At 56.8% G+C, this 24,484-nt stretch overlaps 1 protein-coding gene across 1 annotated transcript, besides 3 other annotated features; it reads left to right on the forward strand.

Moving 5' to 3' along the window:
• Window positions 2,899-3,068: an enhancer, noted in NCBI's record as "experimental_6521 CRE fragment used in MPRA reporter constructs". NCBI's record gives its function as "activates a minimal promoter by MPRAs in K562 erythroleukemia cells, with activity observed for the non-introgressed 1:2918229 variant allele {active_cell/tissue: K562}" and the evidence as "EXISTENCE:reporter gene assay evidence [ECO:0000049][PMID:34662402]".
• Window positions 16,104-16,867: an enhancer, noted in NCBI's record as "H3K4me1 hESC enhancer chr1:2931349-2932112 (GRCh37/hg19 assembly coordinates)". NCBI's record gives its function as "activates a minimal SCP1, AML or CMV promoter by ChIP-STARR-seq in primed H9 embryonic stem cells {active_cell/tissue: H9 hESC(primed)}" and the evidence as "EXISTENCE:reporter gene assay evidence [ECO:0000049][PMID:30033119]".
• Window positions 17,230-17,399: an enhancer, noted in NCBI's record as "experimental_6546 CRE fragment used in MPRA reporter constructs". NCBI's record gives its function as "activates a minimal promoter by MPRAs in K562 erythroleukemia cells, with activity observed for both the introgressed and non-introgressed 1:2932560 variant alleles {active_cell/tissue: K562}" and the evidence as "EXISTENCE:reporter gene assay evidence [ECO:0000049][PMID:34662402]".
• On the forward strand, window positions 22,786-24,222 carry ACTRT2 (actin related protein T2). Its single transcript, NM_080431.5, has one exon. The coding sequence runs from the start codon at window positions 23,006-23,008 to the stop codon at window positions 24,137-24,139; it is 1,134 nt and encodes a 377-aa protein (NP_536356.3). The 5' UTR covers window positions 22,786-23,005; the 3' UTR covers window positions 24,140-24,222.
• The last annotated feature ends 262 nt before the right edge of the window (window positions 24,223-24,484 follow it).

Here is a 24,484-nt window from a genome sequence, read left to right on the forward strand (position 1 = left end):
ACACACTTTTAAACAACCAGATCTCGCGAGAACTCATGCACTATGCAGTACCTGGCTGGGGGACAATGCTAAACCTTTCACAAGAACTTACCTCCCACAAGGCCCCACCTCCAACACTGAGGATTACAGTTCAACATGAGATTTGGTGGGGACACAGATCCAAACCACTGCCTCGAGTCTCCGTCCATCCTTACCCCAGGGCCACTTCTCTCTACTCAAGATGGATGCTCAGGTGCACGGCCCAGAGCTCTGCCCACCAAGAGGATGTCCCCGGACCCTGGTGAACTTCTAGGGCATCTAAGAAGTTAATTTTGACCATTTTATTTGCCAGGATTCTCCTTGCTTTTATGGAGGTGCGTAACATGGGGGTCCTTAATCCGCTATTCTGGAAATGCTTCCCTTCAGGAGAGACTTGCAAAAAGGTCAGTCCGGATCAAGACAGATGCGCTTCTTTGTAATATTCCTGTGCTGGTAGGTAGGTTTGCTATACCCATTCCTTTCACTCAGGCTGTAGCTAGCAGGGACCATGGCTCTGTGCAAAAGTTTCCATTCTGACCCTTGCTTCTTGGGGATCTAAGAGCTTCATCCCCTGTCCCGGGAACCCATTGCAAGCTCCCTGATATTAAGAGCGGCATCTGGGAACCACCCCCAGGCAACTCCAGCATTAGGTCACCACAATTACTATTTTGGGTCATGTTATTCATTTTTGGGCCTCTTGAAATTTCCATTACTCTTTTGCAAGCTCAGCTTTCCATTTAAAGCATGCATATCCTATTTTACCTGGCATTGCTAAGCTATTTTTTAAAAAAACAGGAGTGACCTCAGGTTATCTTGATCAGAATTCTCCCTGGAAAAAGTTGCTCTCTGTATATTTTAAAACTCACAAAAACATGCACATACACAAGTGGCCAAGTGCAACACGCAGAAACAGGAATGTCAGCTATGCTGTGGGCGGTGGGTGGAGGTGCCTCGTATGAAGACAGGTAAGAGGGTCTGGCCTGGGCTCGGGGGTCTTCAGGTCCACTTCATCCACCTGCAGCCCTCACTGGAGGTGTTTAGTGACACAAGAGTGAGGTGTCTGGGCTGCCGGCAGCAGGACCAAGGGAGCCTTCTGTTGCCCAGAGCCTCTGCCCTTCCATACCCGGCCTGCCATTCTTAGGCAGTGGTCTGGAACCCCTGGGACTATCAGGGCCTTGGGTGACACTTGCAGAGGTGCCCCCTCCAGTACTTGGGGAAAGTGGAAGATCCACATGTCCAAGGTCCAGGACAGCAGGTGCCAGGAGGAGTGCGAGGAGGAGGGGATGTGCTGGGAGAGGATGGAGGAAGCTGGTGGTCCCGGGAGCAGATCAGTTTGTAAGAGAACTTTCTGGGCTAGGAATGAGGGTGGGGCTGAAGGGAGAATGGCCAAGGGCTCCCGTGTGAGAAGAAGACGTGCATCTATCCAGTGGGGTTCAAATTTCCCAGGTGGACCAAGGACAGACAGGTGGGAGAGTGCTTCCAAGGGCTGTGGTTTTCTTAGAAAACGTGTCCGGGGCTTTCGCAGCCGTCAGGATGCACCCATACCCCCTCCCAGCCTGTGAGCCCCACATCTAGATGTACCTGCGCGACCACAGGGTCCGCTTTCCCTTCTTTCTCTGCTTCCCAAACACTCAATGATTCCATCAGCTGTAGACTTGGCAGCAGCAGGGCTGGGACTGACCTCCCGGAGTTGGGGCGGGGGTGCCCCTTTATACCGAAATCTAGTTGTTAGAAAGGTTGGTGAGAGCGTGGAGCATGGAACACCTCTCCCTCCTCTGCATTACTGTAGCGTCCGCGGCTGACCGTCCCCGGCACTTCTCCACGTGCAGGTCCTAAGAGCTTCATGATGCTGTGTCACTTCAACCTTCCAGCTGCCTGGGCTTCTTTCTCATCATTCTCTCTCCTTTATTAAAAAAAAAAAAAAAAAGAAACTCAGAGAGGCTGAGGGAGCCAGCTGCTTGTGGCTGCAGAGCCGCTAAGGTGAAGACCTGGGGTTTGAACCTGGACTCTTTATCACCCGAGATTCCATGTTCTTAACCATCACAGTTTATCCCGACCATTCTGTTTTGAAGGGGGAGCTCCAGGCATCCAGCGAGCCAGCAGCGAGGACCTGTGGGGGATCTTCCTGAGTCAGGCTCCCCGGACATGGGAATCTGGGTGTGTGTCATTCCTCTGGGAAGGGCTCATCAGGAAAAGCCTCTGAGGGCCATGGTGAAGCAGAGTAGGGGAGGATCAAGAGCCAATCGGCAGGTCTCAGAGTGTCTCTGGAACATGAACTGCACTGCAGAGAAAAAAATTGATCGGTCTGTGCCTGGACAGCCAATCACTGGCCAGGAGCCTCTCCAGGGGGTTGACCACGTCCTGGGCAAGATGGCTCAGGTTGGTAGAAAGCCGTTCTCCCATGACAGGGGATGCAAGCCATTTGCACCCTTCACGCCAGCAGCCTAGAGGTGGAGTCACTGAGCCTGTGAAGGGGATCTTGAGGGGCCCCAATGGCACCTGTGACAATCTGCCCCTGGCCAGCCCACAGTCTCTTGCTGCTCACAGATCAGTGAGTTCACCACAGCCGCGCAAGGCACAGGCTCTCCACGGTCCTGCAGCCTCAGTTCCTGGGAAGCTCACAAGCAGGGGGCTGGCGTGTGAACTCCGGTCCCGCTGTGGTCTCCAGGCCGTAACTGACCCTCACCCACCCCTTGACCTGCTGGGCACTCTAGGCTGCCTCCGCCTGGTCCAGCAGGCCTGGCTGGCGAGGGATCCACCAGGAGTCTGAGCCCCGGCTGCCATGCTGTAACAAGGCAGTGGTTAGTGGACTTGCTGGGCACTGGGGCAGCAAGAGGTGTCCCGTGGGTCACATGGATGCCAGGCGTGTCCCCACCCTGTCCTGGAGCAGCAGCCCTGGCCCCACCCCCACCCCTCAGGATCGGGGCCAGCGACCCCTGCCAGGACTCTCTGTGCCTGGCACGAACGAGGCAACAGTGACCAGATGGTGCTGCCTTCTCAATCCAGGGGAACTAGTTCTGCGACCCCGGTGGAAATGTACCCTTCTGGCAGCCACAGAGTCACAGGGTGAGGGCGGCAAACCCATGTTCCCACAGTAAGCCACGTGGAACGACGACGAGGGGACCCCCTATGTGTCCACTCCGTAGCTCCCAGATCCATGCATTCTGCCTGTCATGGACACGGCACCGTGTCATCGTCACTGGCTCAAGAAATAGCCTGCAAACTAAAGGACAGCGCCCACCTTCTCGGACGTCCACATTCTCGGACGCCCACATTCTCGGACGCCCACATTCTCGGGGGCGCCCACATTCTCGGACGCCCACACTCTCGGACGCCCACACTCTCGGGCGCCCACACTCTCGGGCACCCACACTCTCGGGCGCCCACACTCTTGGACGTCCACACTCTTGGATGCCCACACTCTCGGGCGCCCACACTCTCGGGCGCCCACACTCTTGGACGTCCACATTCTCGGACACCCACATTCTCGGATGCCCACATTCTCAGACGTCATCTCTGAGCCAAGTCTGGGCTGCTTTTGGGAGGATACTCCGTCCCTGTTGGCTCAGCCATTTCTGGAGGGAGGTCCATGGTGGGTCCAGGAGATCCATGGACTGTGTGCCCCAGCTCCTTCCTCTGACACCGAGGGGTCCTGTGGTCTGCAGCCATGTGGCCGGGGACCCTCTGTTAGTGAATCTGGGCTCTTGGCTGTGGTGCATGAGGAAAAGCAAACCCTCACCTGGCACAGGCACCGATCCCAGTCCCGACGGGCCCCTGTCCTCTCCAGCGTGGAGTGGTTCTTTGTAACCGGCTTGCCACCAAAGGGCTGGTTGGTGTCTTTGAGGGACGATGTCAGGACTTGAGCTGCGGTCAGTTTCTGATACAGCGGTGACAGTGATCACAATAGCCTCGATGAGAAGCCTGTGCCATTGAGAGGACACATGGCTTCAGACCCTGTTACCACGCCTACTTCCACCACAAGTGCATCGCCCCAACCCTGCAGTGGCCCCGGACAGAGGCTGCCTGACACCTGGCAGAGTTGCCCTGCCCACACGGTCATCCTGGGCCTCTTCCACACAATGCTCCCTGGCGCTTGGGGATGTGGGACACAGAGACCTCCCCGTCCTCCAAACCTCACGCTGAGGCATTCACCACTGGGCTGACTCTGCGTCCATCCTTACCCCGGGCCACTTCTCCCCACTGACAGGGGATGTCCAGGTGCACGGCCCAGACCTCCGCCCACCCAGAGGATGTCCCCTGACACTGGCTTTCAGGTTGGCCTCTGCGGGGCAGTCACACAGCAGCAGCCCCTTTCTGGCTTGCCCTGAGAGCTGAGCCGAGCATCTGAAAGTCAAGACTGCTTCTTCCTCTTTTACCCACTGGTCAGAAAGACCCCCGACGAAGCCAGGGGTGTGAGTTGGGGGAGAGACGTTGGTGCGTGGTGGCAGAGGACATGGAGGTGGGTTTCCTGTTTGTGGAGCCTCCTCATGCCCCCTGGACCTGCCTGGGCCTGGTCACAGACGACCCCGTCGGCGAGGGTGGATGGCCACTGCATCGTCCAGCCTTGTCACTCGGGCCTGGCGGTGCACAGCTCTCGCTGGGTGAGACTGGCTCCATGGTCAGCTGGTGTCCCCTGGCCAGAGGCTCCCTGCCTGCTGAGGTGCAGTAGCTCGTTGGGGACTGTTCTGGAAAATGGTCCGTTCTCTCCTGCAGAGAGCAATAACAGAGGCTTGCTCCCCAGCTCCGGGGTCTGCACGGCTGCTGTCTTGGGGGGCATCGTGCTCCACCACATGGGGTCTCCCAGGCTGTAGGGCCTAAGAGGCAGAGCTGCTTATACACAGCCTGGTCCAGTTGCAGAGCCCGCTGGGGCCTGGGCCTGCGGAAGAGGAACTGCCGGGTTGCACCTGACGAACGGCTGGATCAGGGTGCCAAGCACAGGCCGTGCTGCCTCCACAGCTGCAGGGGCCTCGGGATGTCGTGATTCTTTCTCAGTGGCAGGAATCCAGTCCACAACAGCCACCTCTGGAGGGGGCATGTCCCCCACCCTGAGCCCCCTCCAGGTCCCCAGCTCCAACTGCATGCTGGCTCCAGTGTATGGGGCTGCCGTCGGGGTCTGGGCCATGTCCAGGTGGTTCCAATGCCTCCCTTCCTTCTCATTATTGTCAAAACGGGAGGATCCACACAGCCCCGGGGTGAGGCCGGGGGTGCTCACGGGGGCCAAGCCACGTGCATGTGGATGCCTTCTGAGCCTCACCGTGGGACAGACGTGGAAAAGGATCTGCTTGCAGATGGGCCGCCACAAAGCTTGTAGCCAAGGCTGTGTGTGTGCTCGAGTGCGACGCTCCCTCTGGCCTCGGCTGCAGCTGTGCTGTTTCTCAGCTGTGACTGTGGCCGGCTCACCATGACCACAGCTCCTCCAGCATCCCAGGGGCCACGCTGGTGACTTAGATAGTGCTGTGACAGGGCTTGAGCGGGGGGTCCTGCACCCTGTTCCTGAACTGGAATGGACAAACTCAAGAACTGGCAAAACCCTCACCCTGGTCCCTCAGCTGGCAGAGGGTGATCTATTTTAGCAGGAACGGCCACGTGGAGGCCATCGAAATTGCCCTCAGGCCTGCCCGGCCCAGAGAGCAAAGTGAAAACAGTAGAAAAGGCTGTGGGGAATGGTGGGAATTAGAGCCGCTTCCAAAAACTCGAAGGATGCAGGAGGCTGTTAGCAGTGAGTGGCAGCCCCTTGCAGGTTGAGCCCTGTGCATCACCAGGGAACACAGAGTGCCGAGCAGTGCAGCCAGTTGGCCACATGAAGGTGCCTGAGGGGGTGTCTAACCTGGAAGTCTCACCCCAGGACTCGCCCTGTGGAGCTGGGGACACCACGTGCCAGGATGTCCCATGCACCGGTGCCACTGCAGCCTTGGTTACCATTCTTGTAGCAGGTGAAACCGGTCACCGCAGTGAATTCCACACACAGAAAGCCATGCAGTCACCGTCATACTGCCAGGGCTGTTGTGGGCCCTGGGAGGCAGGAGTCCACAGAAGCGATTTCATGTTGGGACGTGCCCTGTGCCCGCTCCGGCTCAGCCTGGCTCTCAGGCTGTGGGGAGAGGTCCCCAAAGGCTCACAAGCCCTGCTCCTGCCCACCAGACTGAGCCCAAGCCAGGGCTCAGGGACCTCTTGACAGAGCTGATTGGCAGGCACAGACAGATCCCCTGGGACTGAGGCTTTTCTCTGGAGCCTCCCACATTCTGGGGGCGAGGACCCCAGCTGTGGCTGCATCCACAGGCACCAGGGGAAGGGACTGGCACCAAGGCACCTGTGCAGAAAGTGTGGGGCCCCCCACCGAGCAGGGCTGCCTCCAGCTGGGGTTGCGTGGCACTTCCCCAGCAGGAACCTCTCTCATGTACCAGGTCAAGGCTGGTTGAGAAACATAGAGCCAGGGCTTGGGATGAGCCTAGAACCAGGAAGGGCTGACAGCGCTCCTCCACAAGGCTTTGCCTGGGTGTTCCCTCCCTGTGCAGGAATGCGCTGCTTCCTGGTCTCCCATGGCATCCTCCACCTGCCCACCCCGTTTAACTCGCCCTCAGCTCAGTCTGTCTCCCGATCTTTTCATTTTCTTCATGGGGCATATCCCACTTCAGCACTGTCTTGTTTTGAATTTGCTGACACCTGCCTCACCCCACCCCCGGCCCCTGCTCTCGACTGCAAGCCAATGATGTGAAGGGTGTCCTGACCTCATCCCCAGCATCTCAGAGCCTGCACAGAGACTCAGACACACCAGGTATGGTGTCCAGTGGTGGGATGGTAGCTCAAACCTGGGATGGAGGATGGAAGAGCGGGTGGGGAGGGAGCTATGAGGGTGCAGGGGCACCTGGGACAAGGTGGGGACCTTGGCCTCATCCATACTAAATCATTTAAGCAGCATCCTCAAAGATTCAGCCACTGGAGGAAACAGCCAGGGAAGGGGATTTTGTGCTTCATCTCCTGTTTTGCTGAGCAAATGAGAACCACTGCTCTCCCCACAGCATGGCAGACCCCTGCTCCAGGGCCTGCACCTTCCTTCCCCCTGCGCTGGGCTCTTCTGGCTAAATGATCTCGCTGATACCTTGGGAACTGGGTGATAAAGCTCGTGCCTGAGTAATTTCTACCTCCAGGCTCTCCTGAGAATCACAGTAAAATGTGGATGTTTCCAGGTTCTGCCAACACGTTTTCCAGTCGGCCGTCTCTTGGGAGTCTGGGCAGGCAGGGCAGGGGAGGGGAGTGAGAGAAGGAGTCAGCCTCCATTTTTAGGTTGAATTCCCTTTTGGAAGGCGCCCTGTCTGTCTTTGGCAAGGATGCAGAGAGGGGTGGAGCACAACCCCCGCAGGGCAGCTCAGCCAGCATCTCCCCAAGCACTTCCTTGAGTATTTCCTTCAACCCTGGGCAGGTAGGGGCAGCCACAACTCCATTCGGATTAGTTTGATCAAATGTTTCTCTGTATTTAAAGGCCCATATTTGGAAAACTCCAACTCTGTGCATACCAATCACTGTATACTTAAGAGATAGCAATTTACCAGTGGAAGTCTGGCCACATAGGTAGGGTGGACAAGCTGAGCAATACTGGCTGCCCAGTGATATAGTTTGAATGCATGTCCCTGCCCAAATCTCATGTTGAAATGTAATCCTCAATCTTAGAGGTGGGGCCTGGTGGGAGGTGTTTAGATCATCCGGGTGGATCTTTCAATAATAGCCTGGGCCATCCCCTGGGTGATGAATGAGCTCTTGTTCTGAGTTCACATGAGATCTGGTTGTTTAAGAGCATGTGGCACCTCTCCCCATAATACTCTGTCTCTTGCTCCTGCTCTGGTCATGTGACATGCCTACTCCCCCTTTACCTTCCACCATGACTGTAAGCTTCCTGAGGCCTCCTTAGAAGCCAAGCAGATGCCAGCATCAGGCTTCCTGTAAATCCTGCAGAACCATGAGCCAATTAAACCTCTTTTCTTTAGAAATTATCTGGTCTCAGGTATTTCTTTATAGCAATGCAAAACCTGCCTAATATAGAAAATTGGTGCCAGGAGTTGGGTATTGCTATAAAGATACCAGAAAATGTGGAAGCAACTTTGGAACTGAGTAATGGGGACAAGTTGAAAGAGTTTTGAGGGCTCAGAAGAAGACAGGAAGATGAAAGAAAGTTTGGAACTTCTTAGAGACTGGTAAAATGGTTGTGACCACAATGCTGATAGCAGTATGAGCACTGAAGTCTAGGCTGCTAAGGTCTCAGATGGAAATGAGAAACGTATTGGGAAATGGAGCAAAGATTACACGTTATGTCTTAGCTAAGAGCTTGGTTGCTGCCTTCTGTTCTGCCCTAGGGATCTGTAGAAGTTTGAACTTCATAGTAATGATTTAGTGGATCTGGCAGGATAAATTTCTAAGCAGTAAAATGCTTGAGATGTAGCCTGGCTACTTCTATCAGCCTATGCTCAGATGCAGAAGCAAAGGAGTAACTTAAAGATGGGACTTATATTTAAAAGGTAAACAGAGCATAAAAATTTGGAAAATTTTCAGCCTGACCATGTGGCAAATAAAAAAACCAAAAAAAAAAAAAAAAAAGCTTTTTCAACAGAAGAATTCAAGTAGGCTGCAGAGCAACCACTTGCTAGGGAAATTTGCATGAATAAAAAGGAGCCAAGTGCTAATATCCAAGACAATGGGAGAAAGGCCTTGAGGGCATTTCAGAGATCTTCCTGGTCTCTACTCCCATCACAGGCCCTGAGGCCTATGAGGACTAAATGATTTTGTGGGTCAGGCCCAGGGCCCCGCTACCCTGTGCAGCCTCAGGACACTGCTTTCTGCATCTTGGCAGCTCTGGGTACAGCCTGGGCTCAAAGGGGCCCAGGTATAGCTCAGGCTGCAGCTCCAGAGGGTGCAAGCCATAAGCCTTCCACATGGTGTTAAGCCTGCAGGTGCACAGAGTGCAAGAGTTGAGGCTTGGAAGCCTAGATTTCAGAGGATGTATGGAAAAGCCTGGATGTCCATGCAGAAGCCTGCTGCAGGGGTGGAGCCCTCACAGAGAACGTCTACTAGGGCAGTGCTAAGGGGAAATCTGGGGTTGGAGCTGCCACACAGAGTCTCTAATGGGGCAGTACTTAGTGGAGCTGTGAGAAGGGAACCATCCTCTTCCAGACCCTAGAGTGGTAGAGCCACTGACAGCTTGCCTCCTACACCTAGAAAAGCCACAGACACTCAACGACCTGTGCAAGCAGCTGTGGGGGTTGTACCTTGCAAAGCCACAGGGGTGGAGCTCCCCAGGGCCTTAAGAGCCCACCCCTTGCACAGTGTGTCCTCAATGTGGGACATGGAGTCAAAGGAGATTATTTTGTAGTATTAAGATTTAATGACTGCCCTTCTGGGTTTCAACTTTCACGGGGACTGTAATCCCTTTCTTTTGGTCAGTTTTTCTCCTTTTTGGAATAGGAACATTTATCCAGTTCCTCTGCCTCTATTGTATTCTGGAAGTAAATACCTTGTTTTGATTTTACACACTAATAGGTAGAAGGAAAAAACATCTCTAGATAAGAGTTTGGACTTGGGACTTGAACTTTTCAGTTAACACCGGAAATTAGAGTCAAGACTTTGGGGGACTGTTTGTAAGGCATGATTATATTTTGCAATGTGAGAAGGGCATGAGATTGTGGAGGGGTCAGGGGTGGACTTACATAGTTTAAATTTAAGGCCCCACCCAAATCTCATGTTGAAATGTAATCCCCAGTCTTGGAGGTGGGGCCTGATGGGTGGTGATTGGGTCATGGAGGAGGATCCCTCATGAATGCCTTGGACCATCCCTTTGGTGATGAGTGAGCTCTTGCTTTGAGTTCACATGAGATCTGGTCATTTCAGAGTGTGTGGCACCCCTCCAGCCCCTCACTTTCTCCTGCTTTCACCATGTGCCATGCCTGCTCCCCCTTTGCCCTCTGCCATGATTGTAAGCTTCCTGAGGTCTTCCCAGAAACTGAGAAGATGCCAGCACCATGCTTCCTGTAAAGTCTGCAGAGCCATGAATGAGTTAAACCTCTTTTCTTTATAAATTACCCAGTCTTGAGTATTTCTTTATAGCAATGCAAGAATGGCCTAAGACACCCAGTTAAATTTGAATTTCAGATGAACAAGGAGAAATATGCTATATAGACATGTCCCACGGAATCAGGCAAGCCCATGTGGGGCAGGCTCAGGACTGTGCACCAGGCTGGCTCTCTGCTCGCCCACACTTCCTGGTTTCTACACAGGTGGGTTTGGCCATGTGACTCGTCCTGATGAGGTGTGAGCAGAAGTGACATGTGTCACTTAAGCAGAGGCAGGATCCTCCCACATCTGTCTCATGGACAACACAATGGTACCCATCCCCTGGACTCTGAGTGACTGCGTGGAGCCGAGTGTGCAGACTCAGAAGGAGGAGGTATGTCCTGGCCCAGCCTTCCATGCCCACCTCCTGTGGGATGACGGAGCTGGACCAGCTGCTCCACAGCTGTTATTGGCAGAATCCCTCAAGAGAAAGGTAATTATTGACTGCTCACATAGGAGGCCCAGAGCATGGCGCCCCTGGGCAAAAAGTTAGGGGATGATGCAAAGCTCCAACAGGCAATGCCGGCTCCTTGGAGTGGCTCAGCTTGGCTCACATGTGGCTCTTCCTCGGAACAGTGTCCTTCCATCCCCTCCAACAGAATGGCCACCTCATCTGTCACAGAGTCCCCACATGTGGCCCTGCTGGAGCTGCCTCCCCCTCTAGAGGTGGAAGCATGGTCCCTGGAAATGGCAGATCCTCAGAAGCTGGGTGGGGAGCCTGAAATGTCTCCTTCTGCCACTTGATAAGGCAAATGATGGGTTTGTTTCTAGAGAAATCTTATCCCCACCTCCTAAAATCTTAAATCGGTTGCCGGGTACCCAGAACCTGAAAATACAAGCCTGACATGGATGGGCTTTCCACTGAGATGTCTCTGGGGGAGAGATAATGAGCTGCAATGTGAGGCTGAGATCTACTTATGTGGGGAGCCCACCTTCTCAGCTGCCCAGTGCCCCCAAACCCCCAGCCTCCACTTCTCCCCAGAGACTCTCCAAGGCCTCCATCATTCAAGCTGGGAGTGAAGTCTGAGACTAGCAGTTGCCTTTGTGGTATCTTCCACTCAGATGCCCTGCAGGTCCTCTTAAAAAGAATAACAGCCAGCAAGAGGGAAAGTGGATAATTTCTAAAAGGTGAGTTGGCAAGTGTGGTTTTCTCTCTGTGGACAGTGGACAGTGGGAGGTCACAGGGAAAGCTGGTTGAAGAAGGGGATCTGTGGGGCTCAGAGCACCCAAGGGCCACCTCAGAGCAGAACTGTGGAAAGGTAGTGCATTTGTCTGTTTTCATGCTGCTATTAAAGACATACCTGAGACTGGGTGATTTATAAAGAAAAGGGGCTGGGCACGGTGGCTCACGCCTGTAATCCCAGCACTTTGGGAGGCAGAGGCGGGCAGATCACCTGAGCCCAGGAGTTCAAGACCAGCCTGGCCAACATGGTGAAACCCCATCTCTACTAAAAACACAAAAATTAAGGGCTGGGCACGGTGGCTCATGCCTGTAATCCCAGCACTTTGGGAGGCCGAGGCAGGAGGATCACAAGGTCAGGAGATCGAGACCATCCTGGCTAACACAGTGAAACCCTGTCTCTACTAAAAATACAAAAAATTAGCTGGGCATAGTGGCGGGCACCTGTAGTCCCAGCTACTTGGGAGGCTGAGGCAGGAGAATGGCGTGAACCCGGGAGGCGGAGCTTGCAGTGAGCCGAGATTGCGCCACTGCACTCCAGCCTGGGCGAGAGAGCAAGACTCTGTCTCAAAAAAAAAACCACAAAAATTAGCTGGGCTTGGTGGCACATGCCTGTAATCCCAGCCACTCAGGAGGCTGAGGCAGGAGAATCGCTTGAACCCAGGAGGTGGAGGCTGCAGGGAGCTGAGATCATGCCACTGCACCTCAGCCTGGGCAACAGAGAGAGACTCTTTCAAAAAAAAAAAGAAAGAAAAGAAAAGGAGGTTTAATGGACTCACAGTTCCACATGGCTGGGGAAGCCTCACAATCTTGGCAGAAGGCAAAAGAGGAGAAAGCCATGTCTTACATGGTGGCAGGCAAGAGAGAGTGTGCTCAGGGGAACTCCCCTTTATAAAACCTTCAGATCTCTTGAGACTTATTCACTATCACGAGAACAGCACAGGAAAGACCCACCCCCATGATTCAATTACCTTCCACCAGGTCCCTCCCATGACATGAGGGAATTATGGGAACTACAATTCAAAATGAGATTTGGGTGGGGACACAGCCAAACCATGTCAAGTAGGGATACAGCAGAGAGGTGGAACATGTTGAAGCTTCACAGCCTAAGAAAAGTTCTGACAATCGATCTGTGGCTCTGATGAACATACTTCATTCATTTTCTGTGGCTGTTTAAAACAGGATCTGGAAAATGCTAGCCTGACACGGATGGGCTTTCTGTGTCACTATGCTCTCATGGTCTGGAAACCAGACGTCCCAAACTGAGGTGTGGTCAGGGCCCTGCTCCCTCTGAGACTCTGGGCAGAATCGGTCCTTGCCTCCTCCCCGCTTGTGGCCAGCCATCCCTGGAGTTCCTGGGCTTGCCCGCACCTCACTGCCATCTCTGCCTCCTTGTCACGTGGCATTCTCTCCGTGTGTCTCTTCTGGGACAGAAGTCGTTGGGTGTGGGGCCCACCGTAATCCGGTATGGCCACATTCCAACCTACCTTGTTACATCTGCAAAGACCCTATTTCCAGATAAAGTAATTCCTAAGGTTCTGGGTGGACATTGTTCAACCTGGTACACCCAGGTGCGCAGATCCTTCAAAACTGAACGTGGATTCGCAGGCCCGAAGGAGCCGCAATTCCAGTATTTTGGGGCCCAACCAGGGTCCTGATTTCTGGAATGAGGGGGAGCAGCAGGCGGGAAGGGGGCAGTTCGGCCGGGAGCCCCCTCCTCAGATGGCCTTGGCTGTGTGGGGCGTGTTGGGCCGGCCATCCAGCCCCTGATGTGCCCCACCCGTGACAGAGGCCAGGCGGCCCCGGGCCGGCAGCACGTGCACGGTCATCCAGGACACAGCCCAGGGCCTGCAGCGGGCAACGGCTTCTGCTGGGAGCACTTCCATCTGGAAACCAGAGAGGTGTCCACAGAGAAGGGGCAGGACCTTCCCTCCCCGTCCGGGCTGGCTAGGCGGCAACCTCGCCGTGGAGGCAAATCCTTCCACCTGGAGCCGAAACTCCGCAGAGATGATAAATCTCTCCTCGTGTCGGCTTCCAGAAACGACGCCTGCCATTTGCAGATGAAAAATGTCGGCGAGCCGGCTGGAAGCGGCAGGCACATGGCAGAAAGGTTAGCTCTCCTGCCTCTCCCCCGAACACAAGGCCTTTTCTTTCTCCAGCTGGAAGTGAGCACGCCTCATGAATGCAAAGCGCTCTTTCAACGTTCGATTTTAAATTCTTTGAATTAAATCTGGATCCTTCCGGGCCCTGTGTTCTCCCGGTTATTTATCACTGGCTAAGTGTAGAAGTCTGTTCGGCGTCTCCTGGGACTGCTGACTTAGAAGCTGCATCTGAAATGTTATAAACTATTTAAAACCAAAAGCTCGGCTGTGTCCAGTCGGGGGGAGCGCATTTGCAGGCCGCGCTGGGAGCGCTGGGAAAACGAGCGCTGGCCCCCTGCACACACACTCATTCTGCCTGGCCTTCCTCCGGGTAATCGCTTTGATATACTTGAAAGCAAACCTTTTCCCCACCGAGGCGGGGCGATTCTTCCCCCTTATTTAGCAAACATTGACTTTTATTCCCTCCTCCATGGTCCTGCCTCTCTGTGAAATTAACAAGCCAGCTTTGTCCCCGCATCCCCACCGCCCCCACCCCGCCGCCTCCCCAGGCCCGTGGCAGTCCCACCACGCGCCGGCAGGGGGCGAGAAAGCCTCTCTTTTGAGGGCCCCACGCGGCGCTCCCGCGGGACCCGCCTGGGTCTGGGCTCCTGGGACAGGGAAGCCGGGCTTCTCCCCGGAGGCGGGGGCAGAGAAAGACCCAGTTCCTTCCGGACGTCGCACATCAGGACCTGCGATGCTGAAGAATGAGGAACTGGGTGGAAATCGTGGTTTGAAGCAGGGAGAGCGCCCCCCGCTCAATCTCTCAGGAGCCCTGCCGGGTGCCCCTGCCACCTGTCCCGTGCCACCAGGGCCACACTCCCCAAAAGGCCGTGCGTGGAGGGCTCAGTCCCCAGCCCTGCCTGGACACTGGCTGACAGCACTGTCCCTGCTGACAGCCGAGGAAACTGGGCCGGAGTGGCTGGAATTGGGTGGGAGCTCCCACGGGGTGACTCTGCACCTCAGTCCTGGGGACCTGGCCTATGCCCTGTCCAGGGGAGCTCCAAGACGGCCCTCGATGTGCCATCTCGTTTGGGTGACTTCTGCCCCTCAGCTGGGCTGACCAGCGTGCTTCTGATGGGTGGAGAGCAGCACGGGTGACGCTGCTTCCCAGAGAGGGTTCTGGCGAGGCCCTGGCCTCTGCGTTGGCTGGCCGCCTCCTCCTTCTGTCTCTCTCCCCACCTTTTGCTCTAGCTTTCTGTTTCCCTCTTCCTTTCTGTCTCTCTGTCTCTGTCTCTTTTGCTGTCTCTGTCTCTCTCTCCCTTCTCCTCTGTCTCTGTGTCTCTCTCTGTCTCTGTCTCTCACCCCCTCCTCCTCTCTCTGTTTGTGTCTCTCTCTCTGTCTCTGTCTCTCTCTCGGTCTAGTCCCCCCAAGGGAAGCCGATGCCATGTATGAAGCTACCTGGAGAGGCCGATGTGGCAAGACACCAAGGCCGGACAATGGCTAGATGAGAGCTTGGAGGCCAAACTCCCCTCTCACTCCCCATTGAATCTTCAGATGAGACGGCAGGCCCTGCCCACAGCTTAGCTGCAGCCTCATCAGGACCTGAGACTCAAAGGCACCCACACAAGCTGTACCCAGATTCCTGGCCCTCAGAAACATGAGATGAGAAACACTTGTCTTAAGCTGCTGAAGCGTGGAATAACTCCCTACCTGGCCGGAGAGGCCTGGAGAGTAACTCCCAATGTGGCTGGAGAGGGCCATGGCCCCTCCTTCTCTGCTCCACATGCAGCAGCCTCTCCTGAAATGCCCACCAGGCTCCCGCCTCTCACTGGGTGCTACGCTGTCACCTGGATCCCCAAGGCGGGGAGTGCCGCTGCTTGCTGCGCACAAACACAGCCGGTTCCCAGCGGGCAGGCAGCACCTGCTGAACTCCGGCCCCCTCTAAAATGCACATATTCATGTCCTAGCCCCCAGTACCTGGGAATAGGACCAAATAGGGTGTTTGCAGATGATCAAGGCAAGATGAGGTCATTGAGGTGGGCCCTAACCCAAAAGGACTGGTGTCCTTGGGAGAAGGAGAACCCAGATGCAGAGGCATAGACAGGGCCGACTAGAGCGATGCCACCACAGCCCAGGAGCCCCAGACACCAGGAGCCGGGCCTGGAGCAGGGACCTGCCCAGTGCCCTCAGAGGCTGGCGGCCCCATCCACACCCTGATGTTGGACTTCCGGTCTCCAGAACTGCGGGAGGATGAATTTCTGTTGTTTCCACTGCTGAGTTTGCAGCACGTGCTTCCGGCAGCCCCAGGACATGGGTGCATCGGCTGCCAGAATCCACCCCTCCATTAGCCCTTGAGTTTTCGTGTGGAGATTTTAGAAGACCTTGGGAGGAAAGTGACCCTTTGAGGAATTGTCCCATGGTTCTTCACATATGGGGTGTTGGACCCTGGGAAGGGGAAGGAGGAAGCTGGGAACATTTTTCTGCCAGTTTCTGTCCATGTTGTGAGCACGTGCACCCCTGGATGGACCAGCCCTGAGTTCAGGTGCAGCCCCAAAGTACACGGCAAGCATATGCAGGTGGGCGCGCAATGCGATTGACGGCGCTTCGCTTGTAACAGAAAAAAGAAAAAACAGAAAAACCTCAATAATTGAACAATTATTAAATGGAAATACCTCAATAGGGGTTGGTCTAATAAAGTGGGCAACGCAGACAACAGGTCACTGAGCAGCTGTTCAGAAGAGCAGCACTGCACTCCACACACTCGCTCGGAGGAGGAGGGGCAGGGACACGTGGGGGATGCGCCTGACCCAGGGTAACCGCAGTGACACTGGAGCAGCAAGCGGGGCCGGGAGGGGGCTTCCCGGCACCTCACACGGTGCTCAGCGCCAATGCTCCAGGTCAAAGCCCAGTTCCCCTTGAAAGTCAATACAAATGCGAGCAGTGCTCTCCGGAGGGAGATGGGCATGGGCAGAGGCTGTTCTCATCCCTCAGCCCCCGTATGCCTGTGGCCTTGCCCGGCCAGCCTCAAGCCTGCTCCAGCTTCACCTGCTATGGACGGGACACAGGAGGGGCCTGGCTCCCACACCCCCCAGCACATGTGTGCACAGAGCAAAATATTTCCAAGTCCAGAGGAGTGAGGCTGCCCTGTGCGCTGATGCCACCCTGTCCCTGGCAGGCGAGCAAAGGCACTGCCCAGCCTCCAGACTTAGTGTCCCTGCAGCCTGGTCCTCCCACCACCCTCCTGCCTGTGTTCCTCCAGGGCAGAGGTGCCTGGTAGCTTGGCAGTGTCTGGGCTCACTCTCCTCCTCCCCTACTCCAGGGTTGGATGCTCCCCCGGCCCTGCAGCGAGGCACTGAGTCCTGGCCAGGGGAAGCGCCGAGCCCCTGCATTGGAAAATAACAACAGTACTCATAATGCTGATGACTGAGCAGAGCTCACCTGAGGATGTGCACGCTCGTGAGCGCCTTGGGGCTGCACTGGCACTCGAGCCTCGGCCACCTTGCCCATGAGCCTCACTCCAGGCCTCTGCACGGAGAGCTGAAGAGGGCCAGTCCCATGTGGACTGAATGTTCCCCTGCTGTCCTCTGTGAAGCCGTTTAACACCCAGTGTGGTGGGGTCAGGAGATGGGGCCTTTGGGAGGTGATTAGGGTCCTTGTGAGAAGAGAATGAGACCAGAGCCCCTTCCCTCTCTGCCACTGAGGACACAGTCAGAGATGACCCTCACAGACCCCCCGGTGTTGGGCCTGATCTCAGACTCCCAGGCTCAGAACCGTGAGAGGTCAGCGGCTGCTGCCGAAGTCCCCAGGCTGTGTGATTTTGTGAGGATGCCCTCAATGGCAGCAGCCCATCTCTGGGCACCATGCAGAGCAGTCCACCAGCATCTGGCTGCATGTGGATAATGCCACTGAGGTGTGGTCTTGGGCCCCAGGGCTTAGCCCACCCTCATGGGTGGCACCTACTTGACACCCCACAAGGGAGGCAGTCCTGGGGTCTGCATTTTCTAGCCCAGCCTGCAGTCGGGGAGCAAGTCACAGAGCCCTGGAAGCTGCTGCAGGGAGGGCCCTTGTCTTTTTAGCATCCAGAACCCAATATTCCCAAACCTCCATCTCAGGTTCCTGCCACACCTGTCCCAGGTGAGAGGCCACCTCTGCAGCCATTGTGTGCCTAGGTGGGGCTCATCCCCTGGCCAGGGAGGCTGGAGCCGCCACTCTCCTGAGACCACCCCTGCTGGCCACTGCTCTGGGCACCACAGAAGGAAAGAAGAGAGGGAGGGAGGAGACAGGAAAGGAAGGAGGGAGGGAGGGAGGAGAGAGGAAGGCAGAGAGGGAGAGAGGGAGGAGAGAGGAAGGGAAGGAGGGGGGAGAGAGGAAAGGAAGGAGGGAGGAGAGAGGAAGGGAATGAGGGAGTAGGAGAGAGGAAGTCAGAGAGGGAGAGAGGGAGGAGAGAGGAAGGGAAGGAGGGGGGAGAGAGGAAAGGAAGGAGGGAGGAGAGAGGAAGGGAATGAGGGAGTAGGGGAGAGGAAGAGAAAGAGGGAGGGGTGGAGGAAGGGGAGAGGAAGGGAAAGAGGGAGGGAGGGGAGAGGAAGGGAATGAGGGAGGGAGAAAGGAGAGAGGAAGGGAAGGAGAGAGGGGAGCCAGGGGAGGGAGGAAGGCTGGATACATGAAGTATGGCTGGAAAGATGGATACTGGGTGGGTGGATGCGTGGGTAGGTGGATGGAGGGGACTCGGATTCCATCTTAGGGACTCACAAGCGCTGAGCTGCGGGGGAGAATGCTGGGGCTTGGGCCCTTCTGGGGTGACGGGCAGAGAGGTGGAGGAGCAGCCGTACTGGATCCTCCTGTGGCCGCTCGTGGGCCCTGTGCTCCCCACACCCTCCTCACTCTTTTGAGGACAGCGCACCTCCTGCCATCCAAGAGTCGCCCTGTTCCTTCACTACTGACACTGGCGTGGAACCCTCAGCCAGAGGGATCTGGCCACCAGATGTAGGGCCGGCACTGATGAGCCCAGTCCACTGGTCAATAATTGGCTGAGGCTCTGTCCACCACTGACAGATGGAACCAGGGACAATGGGGCCGACAGAGAGGCCCCTCGCCCAGGTTTTCGGTGACCGGGGCACCCTAAGCCAGGCTAGTGGGGGCAGGGGGTGCCCAGCAGATACAGGGCTGCCCACTCCAAGCTCAAATGCCTGACAGCTTCCCGGGGACACCCACGTCCATCCACCTCCAGCTGCAGTCTCAGGGCCCCTCCCCGGGGATGGGAGGTGGGTGGGGGGTGCTGGCGGAGTGGGAGGCGGCTGTGCTGGGCACAACTACTCCAGCAGAAGGAAGAATGAGGCTTTCTGTGTAGGACGAAATGATGACCCCAGAATCATCTCAGGGTGAGCCCTGCCCTGGAGGGGGTTGGCGGTGCAGCCAGCTCACCCATAAACTTGTTCAAGTGATTTATGAGGCTTGCTCAGCGCGGGTGGGGGTGGACCAAGGCGGAACCGTGGCCTCTAATTGGAGCAGGGAAAGGAGAACGTCCTTGTGTTAATAACAGCCTTCGCCACCAGCGCTCCCCATGAGCTCCAAGACCGCTCAGCTACTGGGGTTTCTGTCCAGTTGGACATCAAATCCCCTAGGTGACAGGGACCCCTGTGGGTCTCACACGGGTACCTCCAGGAGGTGCAGACACAAGTAGTCAGAGGGTCGAAGGTGTTTCCTCATGGATGGTGAGCACGGTGTCTCGCACCGCTGATGGGAAGAGGCCGAGGTTCCCAGGCACCTGAGAACCGAGAACCACAGGGAGGAACTTCTGCCCTGGGGACAGCTGGAAACCAGTAGAATGTCACATAGGCTGTGGCTCTTAAACCCACTGGATCTTCTCAGTGGCCACGTGGTGCCAGCCCCAGACAGTGGCCAGGCCTCCTTGGTGGTAGGGTCTTCAGGGTCCTTCCTGCTTCTTCTGGCTCTGCCCACATGGCAGACAATTCTTCAGCCCAGTGAGACACTGAGCAGCCAGGACAGAAGCGTCTACCGAGCCAGCGGCAGGGCCCTGAGCCAGGCCTTGCCCCTGAGGTTCTCGGCTCCAACAGCAAACCCAGATACGACGGTGACGGAGCCAGCGTCGCCCCGGGTGTCCAGGCATCCCGATGGTAACTAGGGCAAGACCACCCTGCCTGCCAATTGCTTCTCCCAAATAGACAAACAGCAATGTGGTGGGCTTCGAAGGGCCTGCTCTGCCGGGCATGTGGCATCTCGGCCACGACTCTCCTGAGTTACCAGGATGGGTCAGGGCACCAGACCCAAGGCCAAGGGCACCACTTCTCCCAGGCTCAGCAGGGACAGTGAAAACATTTAGGGAAAAAAGGACCTGGCCCAGGGCCACTGTGCTGCCAGTGCCCCGGCTTTCCCAGTTGTGTACTTGGGGGTATGCCCTTGTCTTCTCCAAAACGGGGACTGGCAGGGGTCATGGAGGGACCGAGAAGAGCTGAAAATAGGTGGAAAGTCCCAGACCTAATGTGGAGGCTGGGGAAGCAGCCGGGCCGGGGAGGGCGGGGGCGGGGGCCTGTGTGTTTTTGCAGGACATGCACAAGGGTAAGAGGCTGTGCCCGGGGTGCTGTGACTGTGCCTTGTGACAGCAACAGGGGATGGAGGAACCTCAGAAGCCCCACAACACCCCACCGGGAGCTCAGCAGCCCAGGCTTAGCGGCGTCTGCCTCCTCCTCTGTCCTGCCTGCAAATGCCCAAGACCCCAGCCCGCCCAGGGCCACCTCAAAGCATCTGTGTGCCTGACCCAAGAGCCCTCCGCACCAGCATTGCCACTGCCTCCCACTGTGGCCACCGGCAGAGCCAAAATCTAGAAAGCATCGGAGCACGTTCCTCTCAGCTCAGCCCCGAGTATTGGGCGACACTGACGCACTTCCAGCCACACCTGAGAACCAAGGATGCAGACCCTCTGTGATGGCTGCAGGCTGGAACCCCAAGGCGCAGCAGCCAGCCAGGGAATGCTCTCCCCAAAATGTGAGACTCGAAACCTTAGCAATCCCCACAGGTTGGTGGTGGACCTGGACTGTGCAGAGCCGGGGTCTGGGAGACAACACAGCAGGCTTAGTCGTCCCAGCCTTGCGGGCCCTTCCCAGGCCAAGGCCATCTCTACAAGGTAGACAGGGCTTAGCCGGGGGCTGTGGGCAGAGAGGGCTCAGCCGGGGGGGCACGTACCATCCCTGAGCGGCACTCTCTCGCCCTCCTGGGTAAACCTGGTGCCCATCTGGGGCCATCTCTGGTAGCATCGGCTGATGTTGAGCCAGTGCTCAGCAGGGCATGTGACTGAGAGGGACCTTGCCCCTCTGCAGAGCCAGGAGAGAGCCTCCCAGATCCTGTCCCAGGGCTTCAAAGGGCCAGCCTTGTGGACAGCCACACCTCTGCCAGGACCCCAGGTTGTGCAGGTCAGCAGGGATGGGCCCACTTGTATTTCCCAGGACTGGCGCCTGTGGTCTCCTAGTTCAGCGAGGAGGGAACCCTTCCCGCGCAGGGTGGTCCTTCTGTTGTGAATGTGGCTGCATGGGACAGCCAGAAAGGCATTGGAGGATGAGTCACCTCGCAGCCTGGGACCTGCCTGGAAGATGACCTTCGAGGGGGGCACCATTTGCCCGTGCACGCTATCGAACAGGAGCGGGGTTGGGATGGCGCCTGCCCCTGGAAGATGGCGTTCAAGGGGGGCACCCTCTGCCCGTGCCTGCTATCGAACAGGAGCAGGGTCGGGATGGTGCCTGCCCCTGCCCCGGGACACTCTCCGTGTCCCCCAGCACAGGCCTCAGGTGACCTTCAGCAGGACCTGCGGGGTGACCTTGATGTGGGCAGGGAGGAGCTCCAGCGTCTGGGTCAACAGGTTTCGAAGGAGGCCTCAGGGCCCTAGGCCGTGCCCATGGGTCAGTGCCTCCGTCCACACCTACTGCCTCAGGGAGCCCGGGGTCTCTGAGACGACTGCAAGCAAGCTGTGTGGTGGCTGCCACAGTTTCCAGAGAAATGGAGATTTAAGAGCCACACCTGCCCTGGCACGCTTTTGACTCAGTTTCCCTCTGGGGGGGTCCCCTCTAGGAAAATCCTTCAATAATCAAGTTTTTGTTGACTACCACCCAGGGATTAGTGGGGCCCACAAAACCACGTGTCAACAAGACACATCTACACCACACATCAACAACGAGTGTACCGCGCGTGTCTACACCACCCATCTATCCCATGCATCTACACGGCACATCCATATGCGTCTGTACCTCGTGTCTACACCACATGTCTGTACCACGTGTCTAGACTGCCCATCTACAACATGTGTCTACACCACCATCGGATTAATGCCTGCTGGTGGGTCAGCAGGGCAGGCAGGACACACAGAGGGGGCCACCAGCAGGAGCTGAGGGGCTCCAGGAAGGGAGTGACCCCGGGAGGCGTCCTCTGGGAGAACTCTGGGGGGCCAAGCTGGGCTGGAGCATGATTGTGGATATGACAGGAGAGGTAGAATAAACCTCACATTCTCCAAGGCCACCTCCAACCTCCTTAGGAAAAAAGTGAAGCTGGTTCCCAGGTTGGATCCCCTCCCACTTTCTCCCCAAGCGGAAGACAAAGCGGGGGTCTGAGTGCCGGGCGTGCACTGTTGTGGGTGCCCTTGGCCTGGCCCGGTGCCTCCTTCCTGGTCATGCTCAGGCCTTGACCTTTAATGGCCTGGTCACCTCTGAGCATTGCTCTGTGGTTGTGGCCTGACTGTGTGGCAGCTCATAGACACAGAGAGGTGTCACAGGCTGCAATCCAGGCTACCCATGTGAAACCAGCAGGCCATATCTTCAGGGCTGTTGGGTTCCCAACTCTATGGCTGCTGGACTTTGTTGTGTGCTGGCACTTCAGAGTCTGCAGAGAGGAATGAGGGGTGCTGGCCTCAAGCCAGAGCAGAGATGTATTCCTGGACAAAGGGCCAGCAGCCCAGAGGGCTTTGAATAGGGTCTACCCAGTGGGACAGACAGCCAGGACTAATGGGATGGAGGGAGGAGAAATCCCTGAGAGCTTCCTGGGGGAATCACTATTCAAAAGCACATTCTAAGTGCCTGCTGGGACAGAACTGCTTACAACACCCCTCCGACCTGGTGCTTGGTTTTCCCCCTTAGCAAAGGGAAGTGTTGTCACCCCAGAAGTTGCAGCTCAGGGGCCAGAGAAGCTGGTTTTCTAGGGTGCACGCAGGCTGGGCTGCTTCTCTCCACTCTAAAGCTAAGTCTCTGCCTCAGCCCACAGGCTTGTCCAGCACCGCCCTAGGATGCACTTGTCTCTCTCTCTCTCTCTCACCTCACCCTGTGGGGGATGGGGGACTCAGAGCCCCACCCCCAGGGCCTCTGAGGCTCAGGACAATCGTTGCCTTGGCTAGATTGTTACCTAGGAGACAACCCCCTGGCCCCCTGGAAGAGGCCTCAGCAGGCCCAGGCCACCTGGAGGGAGAGCAGACCTGCGGCTGAGGATGCAGGGCTCCCGGGCACGGTGCTAGCCCTGCCTTGAGACACCCCGAGAGCTGTGGGAAGAGCTGTGGGATCCCCTATTGCATCACAAAGCGGCCCTGGAGGGCTGGTCTTTATTTTGATGAGGCTGAGAAGGGAAGGCTGCGGGCATGTTTAATCCGCACGCTTTAGACTCCCCGGCTGTGATTTTTGACAATGGCTCGGGGTTCTGCAAAGCGGGCCTGTCTGGGGAGTTTGGACCCCGGCACATGGTCAGCTCCATCGTGGGGCACCTGAAATTCCAGGCTCCCTCAGCAGAGGCCAACCAGAAGAAGTACTTTGTGGGGGAGGAGGCCCTGTACAAGCAGGAGGCCCTGCAGCTGCACTCCCCTTTCGAGCGTGGCCTGATCACAGGGTGGGATGACGTGGAGAGACTCTGGAAGCACCTCTTTGAGTGGGAGCTAGGCGTGAAACCCAGCGACCAGCCCCTGCTTGCAACGGAGCCCTCCCTGAACCCCAGGGAGAACCGTGAGAAGATGGCAGAAGTCATGTTCGAGAACTTCGGCGTGCCCGCTTTCTACCTGTCGGACCAGGCGGTGCTGGCTCTCTACGCCTCTGCCTGTGTCACGGGCCTGGTGGTGGACAGCGGGGATGCGGTCACCTGCACTGTCCCCATCTTTGAGGGTTACTCCCTGCCCCACGCAGTCACCAAGCTCCACGTGGCGGGCAGGGACATCACGGAGCTCCTCATGCAGCTGCTCCTGGCCAGCGGCCACACCTTCCCCTGCCAGCTGGACAAGGGTCTCGTGGACGACATCAAAAAGAAGCTGTGCTACGTGGCCTTGGAGCCCGAGAAGGAGCTTTCCCGGAGGCCGGAGGAGGTCCTGAGGGAGTACAAGCTGCCCGACGGGAACATCATCAGCCTCGGGGACCCGCTGCACCAGGCGCCCGAGGCCCTGTTCGTGCCCCAGCAGCTGGGCAGCCAGAGCCCCGGGCTCTCGAATATGGTCTCCAGCAGCATCACCAAGTGTGATACCGACATCCAGAAGATCCTCTTTGGGGAGATTGTGCTGTCGGGGGGCACTACCCTGTTCCACGGGCTGGATGACCGGCTTCTCAAGGAGCTGGAGCAGCTGGCCTCCAAGGACACCCCCATCAAGATCACGGCTCCCCCCGACCGGTGGTTCTCCACCTGGATTGGAGCCTCCATCGTCACCTCTCTGAGTAGCTTCAAGCAGATGTGGGTCACCGCCGCAGACTTCAAGGAGTTTGGGACCTCCGTGGTGCAGAGAAGATGCTTCTGAAGGCCGCTTCTCGTTGGGTACCGTGGGGGGTGAACCCTAGCCCCAGCTTTGGGAGGATGTTCAATAAAGGACCAATGCCGGAACACCTGGCCACCTCGGCTCAGTTCCTTCTTGGGGGCGGCAGAGTCATTTCTGGCCCTGACAGTGAATCTGTGAAGTGTCTTGGTCCACACCCGCTCCCCTTCGCTTCCTCCCAAGAAAGCCTGGGCTGAGGCCAGGCTGTGTCCATCTGCAGTTTGTATGAAAGTAGGGCCCTGGGCCTCAGGTGAATAGGGCGCTGGAGTCCGCATTCTAAACAAGGGTCTTAGGTGGGCTGAGAGAGTCGGCAGGGATGGTGGGGACTAG

The sequence above is a fragment of the Homo sapiens genome, chromosome 1 (genome assembly GCF_000001405.40).
Source record: "Homo sapiens chromosome 1, GRCh38.p14 Primary Assembly".
Lineage (NCBI taxonomy): Eukaryota > Metazoa > Chordata > Mammalia > Primates > Hominidae > Homo > Homo sapiens.

Coding starts and splice junctions, on each gene's coding strand:
- ACTRT2 (NM_080431.5), top strand. CDS start 23,006: ATGTTTAATCCGCACGCTTTAGACTCCCCGGCTGTGATTTTTGACAAT.